The sequence below is a fragment of the Homo sapiens genome, chromosome 3 (genome assembly GCF_000001405.40).
Source record: "Homo sapiens chromosome 3, GRCh38.p14 Primary Assembly".
In the NCBI taxonomy this organism is placed as follows: Eukaryota; Metazoa; Chordata; class Mammalia; order Primates; family Hominidae; genus Homo; species Homo sapiens.
Window position 1 is genome coordinate 58,079,415 of NC_000003.12, and position 17,904 is coordinate 58,097,318.

General features: G+C 44.1%; 1 protein-coding gene across 4 annotated transcripts in view; it reads left to right on the top strand.

Annotated features, from left to right (window-relative positions):
* Window positions 1–17,904, top strand: part of FLNB (filamin B) — a 163,830-nt gene that overhangs the window by 70,993 nt on the left and 74,933 nt on the right. For all 4 annotated transcript variants that reach the window (NM_001164317.2, NM_001457.4, NM_001164318.2 and 1 more), the window contains exons 4-6: window positions 2,215–2,362; window positions 15,422–15,540; window positions 16,727–16,804. In NM_001164317.2, the coding sequence (NP_001157789.1) occupies window positions 2,215–2,362; window positions 15,422–15,540; window positions 16,727–16,804 (345 nt within the window). The remainder of the gene's footprint in view (window positions 1–2,214; window positions 2,363–15,421; window positions 15,541–16,726; window positions 16,805–17,904) is intronic.

Consider the following 17,904-nt stretch of genomic DNA (forward strand, 5'->3'; position numbering starts at 1 on the left):
GCTAATTTTTGTATTTTTAGTAGAGACAGGGTTTTACCATGTTGGTCAGGCTAGTCTCGAACTCCTGACCTCGTGATCTGCCCGCCTCAGCCTCCCAAAGTGCTGGGATTACAGGCGTGAGCCACTGTGCCTGGCCGACTTAAAACTTTTAAAAACATGTAAGCCAGGATAATCCACCATTAATGGAAACTGTGGAAGAATCTCTATCACCCATAATCCTATCACAGGAATATAACAAGAGAACTCAGAAATCAAATAAGTCTTGGATACCATCTACAGTAGTCACATTGCTTAGTTGAAGTCTGATCTTCCTAGCTGGGAGGAAAACCAGTGTTTTCTTTCCAGAAACTCCCTCTAACAGTTAGGCACCATGAGTCCCGTGTCCAAAGGCTAGCCAGGGAAGATTGCAGGTAGCCAGTGCCATGGGACTGATGGCGTCACTATAGGCTGCATTGAGGTCTGAGTTCAGTGTATTTTGTAACAGGGTCCCTTGGAAGGTAGAACAACATGCCTGTTTCTTTGGTTTGGTTTTGGAGTCATGTCTCTCCTACATGGCTCATTGGTTTCTTGGCTCGTCCACCCTCAGGAAGTGGTGTGGTGTGTTTTTCATCTCCGCTTAAACCTAAACCGTCTCCTTTTTACGTTCACGTGATGTTGGCATGGGTGAAGTTGTTGAAGGAGCTGCTGGGAAGAAATGCCAAATCGACACACATCCTACTTTTTATGGAATGTATTGAAGGCGACTGTTCAAACCCAAGTAGCTCTTTTGTTCCTGCAGGCTAATGGTCAGAATGTTTTCTGGTGCTTTTTATCACATGGGGAGGGAAGTTGGACACATCTGTTGTTCATTGCACATGGTTAACCTGGTCCATGAGACAGAGCCTCTGTTCATCTGAGGAAGTGTGATTTACCTCCTTAGCACCATTACTGGAGGCAGGGAGGACTCTGCAAGCTGTTTAGGGCTGGGTCAGATGATGGTACTGAAACTGAGGTGGTGGCACCTTCAGGGAAGTCACCTGTCCAGGATGGGTCTAGTCTTGCTCCTAAGCTGAATATCAAGAGAAGTTCACCCATTCCCTATTTTTTTTTTTTTTTTTTGAGATGGAGTCTTGCTCTGTCACATAGGCTGGAGTGCAGTGGCACGATCTCAGCTCACTGCAACCTCCGCCTCCTAGGTACAAGCGATTCTCCTGTCTCAGCCTCCCGAGTAGCTGGGACTGCAGGTGTATGCCACCATGCCTGGCTAATTTTGTATTTTTAGTAGAAATGGGGTTTCACCATGTTGGCCAGGCTTGTCTTGAACTCCTGACCTCGTGATCCACCCACCTCGGCCTCCCAAAGTGCTGGGATTACAGGTGTGAGCTACTGCGTCTGGCCTTTTTTTTTTTTTTAAAGAGACAGCGTCTTACTCCTCTGTTACCCAGGCTGGAGTGCAGTGGCATGATCTCGGTTCACTGAAACCTCCACCTGCTGGGTTCAAGCCATCCTCCTGCCTCAGCCTCCCTAGTAGCTGGGATTACAGGTGTCTGCCACCACACTGGGCTAATTTTTGTATTTTTAGTAGAGACTGGGTTTTACCATGTTGGCCAGGCTTGTCTCGAACTCCTGACCTCAAGTGATTTCTCTTGTCTTGGCCTCCTAAAGTGATGGGATTACAGTCATGAGCTACCACGCCTGGCTTCCCTATTTTTTTAATGGCTCCTAATATATTGAGATCACATATCTAATATTTACATGTTATTTCTTTTTTATTTACCTTTTTTAATTAGTAGAGTTAATACAGATACAGACCATGAGTATACAAGCAAAGGAAAAAGCTGGTTAACCTGTGCACTTTTTTGTAACATGCTCTAATCCCATGTGTGCTTGTTTCTTCATTTTCCTGCCTTGCTATAGCTTATCCTTTTATCATTTTTGAAATTTTGACCAGAGGAGTAAATGGACTTTTGGGGAATGGGGAGGACAATGAACTTTTGGAAGTTACATGCAGAATTTTTTGGAGAGGGGCCCCTAGCTTTCAAAGGGGTCTGCAATTTCTCAAAAATGGTTAAAAACACTGATATTGGTGTGTTGGTTTAAAGTAATTTCACTTAATTGAGAAGCTGACTCAGTTTCTTAATATTTGTAGTGCTTGGTTTAAGAGGCATTTGCAAACACTTCAATAGTTGCAAAGTGATGTGTTCTGGGTGTTCATCCACCATGTCATTATCCTAGGTCATCACTCCTGAAGAAATCATTCACCCGGATGTGGACGAGCACTCAGTTATGACTTACCTGTCCCAGTTCCCCAAAGCCAAGCTCAAGCCGGGGGCTCCTCTCAAACCCAAACTCAACCCGAAGAAAGCCAGGGCCTATGGCAGAGGTGAGTGCTGGTCCTCTGGTGTTGTATTGGAGACATGTCCTCTGGTGTTGGAGATGATTTCATGGCTTCAAGAGTGATGTTCTTAGAATCAAAAATAGATAGGTGTAATCCTCAAAGAGACCCCAAGCCTCCTTTGTAACACATTTTATGACTGTTTTATTCTGCCTTGTTTTTCTAAGGCTTTAAGAAATGTTTCTGCTTAGATGGAAAGGGCAAGTTTGCTGCTTGGTGATTTTAGTGCAGTAGCCCATTGCTCCCATTTTTCAGAAGAGGAATCGCGGGGTAGGGAGTCGGGGGAGTTTGGTCTTGCCCCAGATCACCACAGTCAGTGATGGGGGTGGGCCATCTGGCTGCTGATTCATTTCTCCTTCTGTTACACTAAGCCTGCCTCAGATTTCCAGCCGGAGTGGGAGCTATTGTTAACCCCTGGCAGATACTTCCTTGCTAAGACATCCTGTTTATGACTGCGAGGCAGCTGCGGAACACCGTTTTGCTCAGAACATTATAGTGGGTAGAAGCCATTTCAAGGCATTTGGTGTTGTGATTGGCACCTGACTTCAAGCACACTAGCTTTGTGAAGAGAACAGTTACATGGCTGCAAAGTGTGGTTTCTGGTGAAGATCAACATGGCCAGATACAACTTAATGCCTTTTCTATGGGGGAGGGGAAGGAGTGCATTTTATTTCTCATTTTTCATAATTAAGAAAATATCGGCCGGGTGTGATGGTTCATGCCTATAATCTCAGCACTTTGAGAGGCCGAGGCGGGCAGATCACCTGAGGTCAGGAGTTGGAGACCAGCCTGGCCAACATGGTGAAACCCTGTCTCTACAAAAAATACAAAAATTAGCCAGGCATGGTGGCGGGTGCCTGTAATCCCAGCTATTCAGGAGGCTGAGGCAGGAGAATCGCTTGAACCCAGGAGGCAGAGGTTGCATCGAGCCGAGATCTTGCCACTGCACTCCAGCCTGGGTGACAGAGTGCGTGAGCCTCCGTCTCAAAAAAAAAAAACGAGAAAGAAAATGTTATCCCAGTGGGATAATAGTTATACACACAGTATTCTGTATATCTTCTCCCAGAATTGACAGTTGTTACCATTCTAGCTTAATAGTTTTCTCTTGCCCTTTGTGTGTGTTTGCATATGTGTTCATGTGTATGATTGCTGAATTATTTGAAAATAAGTTGCAAGCATGGTGACAGTTCTGTCCTCAGTACATCACTAAGCTTCTCCTAAGAATAGGATATCCTCTAGCATAACCACAGTATTCATTGCCACATGTAAGAAAATTAACAATAGTTTCATATAATCTAATATTCAGTTTGTTGTAGAATTTCTCTATTGTCCTAAGATTATCTTTTATAGTTGTTGCTGTTTTACAAACTAAGATCTGATTAAGGTTCACTTACTACATTTGTTTGTTATTTCTCTTTAGACTCTTTTCATGCTAAATAATTTCCCCAAACTTTTTTTTTTTTTTTTTTAAATGACACTGACTTTCTGAATAGTTAAGGGCATGTGTCTTGTAGGATGTTCCTTCCCTACAAATGTTCCCTTTGAATAAAGTATTTTCCTGCTTGGTATCAGCTTAGTCTTTTTTTTTTTTTTTTTTTTTGAGAGTCTTGCTCTGTCGCCCAGGCTGGAGTGCAGTGGCACGATCTCAGCTCACTGCAACCTCTGCCTCCTGGGTTCAAGCGATCCTCCTGCCTCAGCCTCCCGAGTAGCTGGGATTACAGGCATCCACCACCATGCCTGGCTAATTTTTGTATTTTTAGTAGAGATGGGGTTTCACCATGTTGGCCAGGCTGGTCTCCAACTCCTGGCCTCAGGTGATCTGCCCGGCTCGGCCTCCCAATCCGCTTATTCTTAAGACGACACATGGCTAGGGCAGTGATGCTGACCACGTGCTGTTCTCACCTCAGTGGTCGAGTCTTCTCATCTGACTTTTTGGGCATGATTTAGACCGGCAGATAGTTCTGGAACAAACCCCTTACCATTTGAGGTTCCGTTTGCAGTGGGTTGTGAGGTGTGTGAGACATCACTTGTGTTATGTAGGGACTAGGGACTTCAAAGCCCTCCTCCCATTCACAGTCACTTGAAGGCTGGCATGTCCTCACTTTCTTTAAAAGTGCTTTCTTTGGCCGGGCTTGGTGGCTCACACCTGTAATCCTAGCACTTTGGAGGCTGAGGCAGGCAGATCACAAGGTCAGAAGATTGAGACCATCCTGGCTAACAAGGTGAAACCCCATCTCTACTAAAAATACAAAAATTAGCTTGGCGTGGTGGTACAAGCCTGTAGTCCCAGCTACTCGGGAGGCTGAGGCAGGAGAATTGCTTGAACCTGGGAGGCGGAGGTTGCAGTGAGCCGAGATCGCGCCACTGCACTCCAGCCTGGGTGACAGAACGAGACTCTGTCTCAAAAAAAAAAAAAAAAAAGTGCTTTCTTTAAGGCATACCACAGGTGGTGGCTGGAATGAGGAATCTCTGACTTTAAAGGTTATGCTTCCTTAATGACAAAACAGTTGCAAACAACCAATTAAATCCTTTGTCAACCAGATTGGTCAAATGGACTGAATCTAATCAAGGCATAGTGTATGTTTGTAATAACCTTATCACTGGCCATCCGGCTTCCCTGTTGTTAATGTGAGACGGTTTCCTTTCACGGTGCTATTTTCTAGAAAATGATCACTTGTTATGGTTCAGGAATGTGGCTGGTCATTGCCATTTCCTTCATCTGCCTCTTAGCAAGTGTGGTGCACTTGTAGAGGAAACACACCCTTTTAAAAAAAAATTTTTTTTTATATGTGTGCTTTTTGCATTTTTTTAATTGTGGGAAAATATCCATAACATAAAATTCACTATTTTAACCATTTTTAAGTGTGGCATTAAGTGTATTCACGTTGTTGTGCAACCGCCACTGCTATCCATCTCCAGAACTTTTTCAACTTCCCAAACTGAAACTCCATACTCATTAAACAATAGCGCCCCATTCTCCCCTCTCCTCTGCTCCTGGTAACCTTTATTCTACTCCCTGTCTCTATGAATTTGCTTATTCTAGGGACCTCCTAGAAGTGAAATCATATGCTGTCTGTTAGGTACCTCCTAGAAGTGGAATCATACGCTGTCTGTTAGGTACCTCCTAGAAGTAGAATCATATGCTGTCTTTTTTTCTCTGGCTTACTTCATTTGTCATATGTTTTCAGGGTTCACCATGTTGTAGCATGTGTTAGAATTTCATTCCTTTTTAAGGCTGAATAATATTCCTTTGTACGTGTATATCACATTTTGCTTATACATTCGTCTGCTGATAGACATTTGGGTTGTTACATTCTTTTGGCTATTGTGAATAATGCTGCTATGAAAACATGGGTGTACAAGTGCTGTTTGAGACCCTGCTTTCAATTCTTTTAGGGATATACCCAGAAGTGGAATTGGTGGATCATATGGTAATTCTATATGCAGCTTATTTTTCAGGAGGAAGTGGCCTCACTCTGCTTTTTAAAGTAGGAGACAAAATGGTCATATTAGGTGACAGGGTCACAAGGCCACATGGGTGGGGCTGTGAGATATGTCCCTGTCATGTGGTTAGATGAAAGCCGGGGTCAGTTTTGGTCTTCTCTGTGTGACCACATTGCTTCATTTCTGCCACCTGAGCCCAGGAAGAGAGACCGTTTCATCTTCTAGTTTCTAAAAGATTTGAAAGTGTTGTTTTATTTTTTATTTCCTGATTGTTTAATAGATGCCAGTTGCCAGCCAGTTAGCATTTGTTGATCCATTCACTGAGTCCCACCTTGCTTAGTTCTAGTGGGTTGAAAGGAGAGAGGGCTGGGGTGAGGTGGACCTCCAGCCACAAACAGATCTTTGTGGTGGGCTTCCTTGCAGGGTTAGCTATGTGAAAAGCATTCGTCCATGAGCTAATCAGAAATCTTTGTAAAAATCTAGTTCTCTATGAAGCATTTACTGTAGAGCAATCCTTAAGCACCCTTCTATCTGAGTAATCAGAGGGGTACCAGTTGTCTCCTTTCATGGTAAGCAAAGCTCCGCAGAAGTTTACAGAGTTGGGGTGTGGTTCAACTTTCTAACCAGCCATGGTTAGCCACGGGTGACCAACCCAAGCCCAGACCTTTGACAAGCTGCAGAGTACGTTGTTTCTTAGGCTGCTGGAGTCACACGAAGTGGAACTTTTAGTATTTTAGGTGCATGTTTATTTACTTACTTATTTTTGTTGTTGTCGTTTTCAGATAGAGTCTCACTCTCTCTCTCTGTGTGTGGAGTGTCGTGATGCCATCACGGCTAACTGCAGCCTTGACCTTCTGGGCTCAAGTGATTCTCCCTCCTCAGCTTCCCTAGTAGTTCGGACCACAGGTGTGCACCACCATGTCCAGCTTTTTTTTTTTTTAATATTTTAGTTTGAGACCAGCCTGGCCATGTTGCCCAGGCTGGTCTCAAAATCCTGAGCTCAAGCAATCCCCCTGCCTTGGCCCCCTCAAAGTGCTGGGATTACAGGCATGAGCCACCATGCTTGGCTATTAGGTGTATGTTTAAATCCATTTGCTTATATCAGTTACATAACCTGAGTGTTATGTAAATCTTAAGCAAAAGAAAAATATATGAAATAAAAATTGAAACTCACTTCCCAACTGCCAATCTCATTCCTGCCTTCAAAGTTTCAGGTATTTATTTCTAGCCTTTTTTCTATGCTGAGTTAAACTGTGTATCTTCTTTGCTTTGCATTTCTTACTGAGCAGTGTGGGAAGGCTACCTTTTAAAATTTATTTGTAGTTCTTTATAATTTTTACCTTTCTTTTTAGGCAGAAAGATTATCTTATTATATAACAGTCTACGGCCATTTTTTCTTAAACTAAATTATTGGGAAATGAATAGAAATCCAGAGTATAGTAACAAATGACCTAGTGTCTTTAACAGATTGGTAGCTAGGAAAAGGAAGTGGTGGAGAGACAGCCGGAGATTAAATGAGACTTAAGAGACTTAGCAACCATTTGTAATATGTGACCTTATTTGGATCCTATTCAAACTAATGGTTAAAAAAATTCATGATAGCTGGGCATGGTGGCTCACGCCTGTAATCCCAGTACTTTGGGAGGCTGAGGTGGGTGGATCACGAGGTCAGGAGATCGAGACCATCCTGGCCAACGTGGTGAAACCCCCTTTACCAAAAATACAAAAATTAGCTGGGCATGGCGGCATGTGCCTGTAGTCCCAGCTACTTGGGAGGCTGAGGCAGGAAAATCGCTTGAACCTGGGAGGTGGAGGTTGCAGTGAACCGAGATGGCGCCACTGCACTCCAGGCTGGCGACAGAGCTAGACTCTGTCTCAAACAAACAAACAAACAAATAAAAATTCATGATAAAGCAGCAGCTCAAGGTGCTGTAAGAAATTCATGATATTTATAAGATAATTGAAAATTTGAACACTGAATATTTGACATTAAGGAATTATTTTTTTTTATATGGTATCGATATTGTGGGTACTTTGCAAGTATCTTTTAAGGATACATAGTGATTGTGGATAAAAAATCTGAGGTCTAGGATTTGTGTCAAAATAATACAGGAAGGGGAGGTGGCGGGAGTGAAGGTGAAACAAGACCAGCTGTGAGTTGATAGTTGTTGAAGCTGGGTACAGGAGGTCCACTGTGCAGTGCTCTCTACATCTGTGTTTGTAATTCTTTTTTTTTTTTGAGACGGAGTCTCACTCTGTCGCCCAGGCTGGAGTGCAGTGGCATGATCTCGGCCCACTGCAACCTCTGCTGCCCGGGTTCAAGCGTTCTCCTGCCTCAGCCTGCCAAGTAGCTGGGATTACAGGCGCCCACCACCACACCCGGCTAATTTTGTAGTTTTAGTAGAGATGGGGTTTCACCATCTTGGCCAGGCTGGTCTTGAACTCCTGACCTCGTGATCCACCTGCCTCGGCCTCCCGAAGTGTTGGGATTACAGGTGTGAGCCACTGCGCCCAGCCTTTTTTTTGAGACAGAGTTTCGCTCTTGTTGCCCAGGCTGGAGTGCAATGGCACGATCTCGGCTCACTGCAACCTCTGCCTCCTGGATTCAAGTAATTCTCCTGCCTCAGCCTCCCAAGTAGCTGGGATTACAGGCATGCACCACCACACCCCGCCAATTTTGTATTTTTAGTAGAGACAAGGTTACACCATGTTGGTCAGGCTGGTCTTGAACTGCTGACCTTGGGTGATCTGCCCACCTTGGCCTCGAAAGTGCTGAGATTACAGGTGTGAACCACGGCGCCCAGCCTTTTTTTTTTTTTTTTTTTTTTGCTGAAGTTTCACTTCTGTTTCACAGGTTGGAGTGCAATGGTATGATCTTGGCTCGCTGCAACCCCCGCCTCTGCCTCCTGGGTTCAAGGGATTCTCCTGCCTCAGCCTCCCGAGTAGCTGAGATTATAGGCATCTACCATCACACCTGGCTAATTTTTGTATTTTTAGTAGAGACGGAGTTTCACCATGTTGGCCAGGCTGGTCTCGAACTCCTGACCTCAGGTAATCCACCTGCCTTGGCCTCCCAAATTGCTGGAATTACAGGTGTGAGCCACTGTGTCCAGCCTAGTTTGGAATTCTTCATAATAAAAAGCTTTTTAAAAAGGTAATATTTGGACTTCTGCTCCTGGGAAGATGGAATAGGACTTTTCCTAATTCTTTCTTCTAACTACAACTAAAACCCCTGGGCTATACATAAGGAAAACACAGGGAGCCTCTGAAAAAGGATGAGGCAGACCAACCAGGGATCTTGGGACTCGAGGAATGACACAGTACTGAGTTCCTTGGGTTTACTTTGCTTTATATATCCCAGACTTGGAGCCAAAGAAAGAAGCTGACAACCTGAAAATGCCAGTGGGCACAAACACAGAAAGTGCCAACAAAAGCTCCCCTGTCCAGCCAGAAGACCAGGAAAGGGCAGCCCAGTGAGGCAGAAAACTTAAAGAGTCACTGCTCTACTCCAGGTCCACACCATAGAAAAAACTATGCAGCCCCACACTTACACCCGCAGAGGTGAATGGGGAGCCTAGGCTTTGACAACAGTCTAGCAATAAGGAAGCCACTCTCCGGGGCCATGGAGGAGCAGTAATGAGGCACTCCTACTTCCTCCAGCCAGAACTCCCACCTTCACGCACCAGTAATGAGCCCCCCAATCTTGAGCATCAGTCGAGGTTGAATGGAGAGCCTAGACTTCTTCCCCCACTGTTAGTAACAAGGTGTGTACCCTTCCCTCCCCTGCCACAGTGGTATCATAAAATGCCAGCTACAACAGAACATTTACAGAAGACCCAGAGTCTCATTACATGATACCCCAAATATCCAGTTTCAAAAAAAAAAAGAAATCACTTGTCATACCAAGAACCAGGAAGATCTCAAACTGAATGAAAAAGACAGTTGATGCCAACACTGAGGTGATAGAGATGTTAGAATCCTATGACAAAAATTTTAAAGCAGCCATTAAAAAAGGCTTCAGTAGCCAGGCGTGGTGGCTCACTTTGGGAGGCTTGTAATCCCAGGACTTTGGGAGGCCGAGGCGGGCAGATCACCTGAGGTCAGGAATTCGATACCAGCCTGACCAACCTTATGAAACCCAGTCTCTACTAAAAATACAAAAAATTAGCCAGGTGAGGTGGTGGGCACCTGTAATCCCAGCTACTCGGGAGGCTGAGGCAGGAGAATCGCTTGAAACTGGGAGGTGGAGGTTGCAGTGAGCTGAGGTCATGCCGTTGCCCTCCAGCCTGGGCAAGAAGAGTGAGACTCCATCTCAAAAAAAAAAAAAAAGGCTTCGGTAGGCAGTTAAGAACAATCATGAAAAAAATGAAAAAATTAAAAATCTCAACAAAGAAATACAATGTCCCAGCAAAATAATAATAAAAATTTAGGAGATAAAAAGAACCAAATGGACATTTTAGAATTGGAAATTGCAGTAACTGAAATAAAAACTTATTGGATAAGCGCAATAGCAGGGTGGAAGGACAGAGAAAAGAATCCTTCAACTGGACAACAATTGGTTGTTTTGTTCTGAGGTGGAGTTTTGCTCTTGTCACCCAGGCTAGAGTACAGTGGAGTGATCTTGGCTTACTGCAACCTCTGCCTCCTGGGTTCAAGCTATTCTCCTGCCTCAGCCTCCCTAGTAGCTGGGCTTACAGGTGCCCACCACCACTTCTGGCTAATTTTTTTATTTTTAGTAGAGACGTAGTTTCACCCTGTTGGCCTGGCTGGTCTTGAACTCCTGACCTTAGGTGATCCACCTCGGTAATCCACCTTAGGTGATCCAAAGTGCTGGGATTACAGGTGTGAGCCACTGGACCCGGCCTCTGTAAGCTTTTTTCTGTGTTTAAAACTTTTCATTTTTGTACTTTTAAAACTTTTTTTTTTTTTTAAACACACACATTAGTCTAGACTTACACAGGGTCAGGATCATCATTATCACTATCTTCCACCTCCAAATCCTGTCCCACTGTCCCACTGGTAGGTCGTCAAGAGCAGTAATGTGTGGAACCGCCGTCTCCTATAATAACAATGCCTTCTTCTAGAATATTTCCTGAAGGACTTGCTTGAGGCTGCTTTACAGTTAACTTAATTTTTAAATAGAAGATGCCCACTCTAAAATATAATGATAAAAAGTATAGCATATTAAATACATAAACCAGTAGCATTGTCATTTATCATCAAGTATTATGTATTGAACATAATTGTCTGTGCTATATATGTTTCTATGGCCGGTAGCCCAGTGGGTTTGTTTATACCAGCATCATCACAAATACATGAGTAATGCGATGCGTTACTGTGACGTCAGTAGGCAACAGGAATTTTTTGGCTCTATTTATAATCTTACGGGACCATCATTGTATGTGTGGACTATTTTTGACTGAAACTTCATTATTTAGCAAATGACTATATTAGCAAATAAAATTGAGCTGTATATAATGAAGAAGTATGCATTATAACCAAGTGGGGTTTATTGCAGGGATGCAAGGCCTCGTTCACTATTAGAAAATCAGTCAACAGCCTGGCTCGGTGGCTCACGCCTGTAATCCCAGCACTTTGGGAGGCCGAGGTGGGCGATGGGCGGATCATGAGGTCAGGAGATCAAGACCATCCTGGCTAACACGGTGAAACCCTGTCTCTACTAAAAATACAAAAAATTAGCTGGGCGTGGTGGTGGGTGCCTGTAGTCCCAGCTACTCGGGAGGCTGAGGCAGGAGAATGGCATGAACCCGGGAGGCAGAGCTTGCAGTGAGCCAAGATTGTGCCACCGCACTGTAGCCTGGGCGACAGAGCGAGACTCCGTCTCAAAAAAAAAAAAAAAAAGTCAAATAGTAAAGATACCACCTCTCCTCAAATTGTCATTCAGGTTTGATGCAATTGCTGTCAAAATCCCAGCAAGAGTTTTTGCAGATAGCAAGATTATTATTTTAAAACCTATATGAAAAGGCAAAGGAATTAAAGTAGCAAAAACAATTTTGAGAAAGAAGTACAACATGGAGGAATCAGCCTTCCTGATTTCAAGACTTGCTGTATAGCTACAGAAGTCCAGATTTTGTAGTATTGGTCAAAGGATAGACATTATAGATCAGTGAAACAGAATTGCAGCCCCACACAAATATGCACAACTGATTATTGACAAAGGTGCAAAGATAAGTCATTGGGGGAAAAAACCTTTTCGGCACATGGTGGCAGAGAAATTGAACATCCCTAGGCAAAACAAAACAAAAGCAAACCCCAAACCAAAAAACAAAAAACCCATATAACTATAAAACTTTGAGAAAAAAACATAGAAGAGAATCTTTGAGATCTAGAGCTAGGCAAATAGTTCTCAGATTTGACACCAAAAACATGATCCATTAAAAAAAAATAAGTTGGATTTCATCAAAATTAAAAACTTTTTAATGTTTTAAGAAGGATGGTCTGTCTCAAAGACTCAACATGGTACATGGTGGTTGGCCTTTATGTGCTGTTGAGGGTTTTCCTGCATTGAAGGGTGCACTCCTGGGTCACCTACTGTCCTGCAAGACAAGCTGTCTTAGCCCTCACACTATAAAAGCCACCCGGACACCGTCTCAAACAGAACTCAAAATGTTGCTGAGACTGGGATCTGGGGGCTGGATTTTACTTTTACAAACAATTTAAAACTTTTTACAGTTAAGAGGATGAATATACAGGCTAAAGACTGGGAGAAAAAATTTGCAAACCATATGTCCAACAGAACACTAGTATCTAGAACATGTAGAAAGAACTCTCAAGTCTTAGTCGTTAAAAAACAGACAAACATTTAACCAAACAACCCAATAAGAAAATGGGCAAAAGACATAAACAGTTTCTGCTGAAGAGAACGTCCATATGACAAAAAAACACATCGAAATTTGTTCAGTATCATTAACCATGAGAAAAATGCGAATTAATCCTAGTACACACTATCAGAACGGCTAAAATAAAAAATATTAATACTGATAACACTAAATGCAGAACGGATGGAGAGAAACTGAATCTGGATCACTCACTCATACATTGCTGGTGGGAATGTAAAATGGTGTAGCTACTTTGGAACACTGTTTGGTAGTTTCTTAATAAAGAAATAGGCTGGGCACAGTGACTCCCTTCTGTAATCCCAGCACTTTGGGAGGCTGAGGCTGGAGGATCACTTGAGCCCAGGAGTTTGAGACCAGCCTGGGCAACATAGGGAGATTGCATCTCTACAAATAATTTTTAAAAATTATACAGGTGTGGTGGTATGCACCTGTGGTCCCAGCTACTCAGGAGATTGAGGCAGGAGGATTGCCTGAGCCTGGGAGGTCGAGGTTGCAGTGAGCCGTAATTGTGCCACTGTGCTCCAGCCTGGGCTACAGAGTGAGACTTGGTCTCAAAACAAAAACAAAAACAAAACCTCAAAAAACAGTACATGCAACTACCATATGGCCCAACAATTGCACTCCTTGGCATTTATCCCAGAGGAATGAAAACTTACTGTATATGAGAGCCACTGTTTTTCCTTCTATAGTCTCACAGCTAAAGAAAAAAAACTTTTCTCATCTTCTCTACTACTCCTCTCAGTATTTCGCTTCCGGTCACCAAAATCTATGGATTTCTGTCCCCCATACTGACAAGTTCTCCAATTTTATGTGGACAACAAGTAGGTGTCCTATAATCAATTCCCTTCAATTCTGACACTATCTACCTGAAGTTAGTGCAGACGCCATTAAGGGCTCGGTCCCTCAAAACTGCCCCTGACTTCAGAGGCCAGTCAGAAGTGGTGGGTCCTCAGGTAACCCACAGCTTCTGTCCAGGTTTGCTACAAATCAGAAGGTCCCATTACCCCTTCCTCATGTTATGTTATTTGCTAGAGTGGCTCACAGAACTCAGGGAAACACTTACCTTTAGCAGTTGTGTAGTGAAGGATATGATAGAGGATACAGATGATGCCCCAGATGAAGAGGTGCACGGGGCAAAGTTTAGAGGCGTTTTGAACACAGGAGCGTCTGTCCCCATGAAGTTGGGGTGGGCCATCCTCTTGGCACATGGATGTGTTCACCAACCCAGAAGCTCTCTAAACTCCATACTTCAGGGATGTGGAGGCTAAGTCACGTAGGCGTGATTGACATTAACTGAGACTACAGTTCCTCTCCCTTCCCTGTAGGATGGGGAGTGGGGCCGAAAGTTCTAAGCTTCTGATCATGACTTGGTCTTTCTGTTGATTAGCCACATCTTGAAAGCTATCCGGGAGCCCACTAAGAGTTGCCTGATTAGAACAGAAGATGCTCTTGTCACCAAGGACATTCCAAGGGGTTTAGGAACTCTGGAACCAGGGGCAGAGACCTATATATATAATTTCTTACTATTTTATACTTATGTTCACACACACACACACACACACACACACCCCTATGCACAGATGTTTACAGCAGCTTTATTGGTAAGAGACAACTAGAAACAACCCAGATGTTCTTCAGTGGGCGAATGGTTAAACTGTGGTACATCTATACCATGGAATATTAGCTACTCAGCAATAAAAAGGAAAAAAACCATTGACAGAAGCAACAACCTGGGTGAACCTGTAGACAATTATATGTAGTGAAAAAGGCCACTCCTAAAAGGTTACATAGTTATGATTCCATTGATGTGACGTTACCGAAATAATAAAATTACAGTGTGGAGAACGGGTTAGTGGTTATCAGGGCTAAGGAGAGTGTGGGTGTGGTTATGCAAGGGCAGCAGGAGGGCTCCCTGTGCTAAAGGGAATGTTCTCTATTTTGATTGTATCAACGTCAATACCCTGGTTGTGAGATTGAGTCATAGCTTTTTACCGTGTTACCACTGGGGAAACTATTTTGAGATGGAGTCATGCTCTGCCGCCTAGGATGCGATCTGGGCTCACTGCAACCTCCACCTCCCTGGTTCAAGCAATTCTCCTGCCTCAGCCTCCCAAGTAGCTGGGATTACAGGCATGTGCCACCACGTTGTATTTTTAGTAGAGACAGGGTTTCACCATGTTGGCCAGGCTGGTCTTGAACGCCTGACTTCAGGTGATCCACCTGCCTCAGCCTCCCAAAGTGCTGGGATTACAGGCATGAGCCACCGCTCCCAGCAAGGGCATTGTTTCTTACACCTACAGGTAAAATCTGTCTCGATGAATTTGCTCGATCATCTTAAAATAAAAAGGTTAATTAAAAAAATGATTGAATATAATTTTTAAAAATGTCAGGCAATACAATAAATGCTGTTTAATGAGAAATAAGCTTCGCTCCTCCCTGCTGTGTTGCTTCCATCAAGGCAAGCTCTGCTACTACTTATTAACCACATTATTTCCACAATTTTATATAGACTCCTGACTGAGGTTCTCTGAATATCAAAATTGGATATTACTTCAATAACATGGGCAAAATTAAGGCTTTCGACCTGCCTGATTTTCCTTGTCAAGGCAGTTTGTCCCCATTTCCCACATGGGATCTGCAGGGCTGGGTCCCATCTCTCAGTTCCCTGAAAGAGATGCAGTGGGCGATGGCTCATGACACACCCTCGCCTGGCTTCTAACATGTCTGTGTAAACCTGTGGCAGGAATCGAGCCCACTGGAAACATGGTGAAGCAGCCAGCCAAGTTCACTGTGGACACCATCAGCGCCGGGCAAGGAGACGTGATGGTGTTTGTTGAGGACCCAGAAGGGAACAAAGAGGAGGTATGTTGGAGGATGCTGCCTCTCCTTTCCAGCACCTCATGGAGCTTTTGGGGCTTGTAATGCGGCCAGGGACTGTGCCTCCATTTTCATTTCAGCTCACAACCAAAAGTGTTTTTTACCAAAAGGATACTGAGGCTTATAGCTGTTAAAGTAACCTGCCCAAGAGGTGAGCCTTGAAATCAAATTTAAATTGATTGCCAGGGACACAGTGTTTAATGAAATAAAGGATACTTTGGATTTAGCAAAGGTGCCTTGTCAGTTGAGGTTTATGTATGTATTTATTTATTTATTTATTTATTTATTGAGACAGAGTTTCACTCCTGTTGCCCGGGTTGGAGTGCAGTGGCACAATCTTGGCTCACGGCAACATTCACCTACTGGGTTCAGGCGATTCTCCTGCCTCAGCCCGGCTAATTTTTGTAACCCAAGTAACTGGGATTACAGGGACCTGCCACCACGCCTGGCTAATTTTTGTATTTTTAGTAGAGACAGGGTTTCACCACATTGGCCAGGCTGGTCTTGAACTCCTGACCTCAGGTGATCCACCTGCCTCTGCCTCCCAAACTGCTGGGATTACAGGTGTGAGCCACCGTGCCCAGCCTCAGTTGAGGTTTTATATACTGATGGCCAGAATAATAAGAGTCTTGCCCTGCTCTCTTCCCACATTGGCCATTCTTTGGTTCCTCCCTCAGAGCCTTTGCACATGCTGTTCTTTCTGTCACTTATTTTCGTAGGACCATATTTTATTCTTGGCATTTAGCATAATTTGCAATTCTAAGTTTACAGATGGATGGTCCATTTCCCCCACCGGGGCAGGGATTGTATCTGACTTGCTCATGTTTTATTTTTAGTACCTAACACTGGGCCCTGCATTTCATAAGCTTTCAATGAACTATTGAGTGGATAAAGGTTTAAGTTTCTTGCTTCATATTCTCTCTTACCTAGAGAGTGCCAGCCTGACACTGGACACTGGAGAGTCCTGACTCTGTTATGCCTCTGTGCTGCATGGTTTTGTTTCTGTGACTTCAAGCAGTTTCTCTCTAGGGGCGTTGTGCAAGAGGGACAGGAGCTCGCCAGCACCTTCAGTGTTTCCGACCTGGCAGCTCCTGCAGAACCCCTGCTGACACAGCATGCTCCTTACTCACACCCGGCACCTTTTCTAACTGTTGCCCACCTTCCCTCCTAGGCACAAGTGACCCCTGACAGTGACAAGAACAAGACATACTCTGTGGAGTATCTGCCCAAGGTCACCGGGCTACACAAAGTAAGATGAAGCAGCATGGCTGTGGCTTGGGCTGCTCTGGGGCTAGGAGAAGAAAGATAGCCCAGGAAGAAGAGTGTTTTTCTTAAGTGAATTTCTGATTTTCCTTTCTGATTATAGAAGGATCTATGCTCATGATAGAAAATTGGAATCACTAGGATTCCCTCTACTAGCTAGGATGAGTTGTTTGCAATGTCGTAAGATTTTTCCAACTCCATCTAGGTAACTAATGGTTGCAGCTGTGTGTCTGGAGTGTAGATGCTGTGGTGACTACACTATAGATGGGTTCTTTGTCCTTGATTCTTTTTTTGGAGACAGGGTCTTGCTCTGTCACCCAAGCTGGAGTGCAGTGGTGTGGTCTCAGCTCACTGCAACCCCCGCCTCCTGGGCTCAAGCGATCCTCTCACCTCAGCCTCCCAAGTAGGTGGGATTATAGGCACCCACAACCACTCCCAGCTAATTTTTGCATTTTTAGTAGAGACCAGGTTTCACCAGGTCACCTAGACTGTTCTTGAACTCCTGACCTCAAACTATCCTCCTGCCTCAGCCTCCCAAAGTGCTGGGATTATAGACATGAGCCACCACACCCTGCTGGCTCTTTGTCCTTAATGCTTTCTTAAGAACTCTCCTTGGAGGTGCTCTGGAGGAGCTGTCAGCATTGAAGGCTGAGGATGGAGTAGTTCAGCTGAATATAGTAGAGGGAAATGGCCCTCTCAGCACCTGGAGAAATGATAGGGATTGAGGCCTCAGGCTCTTTGTCTTGGCAGCCTTTCGAGTTCTGTTTGAGATGACATCCAGGTGACCTATAGGGCAAGGGCTGAGAGAGCCTGTCTTGCAGGAGAGTGGGGTGACCCAGGAGTACACTTTTCATTGGAAGAAAGCCCTCAACAGCACATAAAGGCCAATCCCATCATGTACCTGCCCAGACTTTGGAATACAGACTGTACTCACCACCTTGGGCTTTAGTGAATTCACCTGGAATGATGGCCTTAGCGTTCTCTTAGACTCTTAGACTATGATGCATTTGGAGTAAATGCTCTTGAAGGGAGCATTTATAATGTAATTAATTAATTCCAGTCAAGTATAGGTTCACATGAAACCCA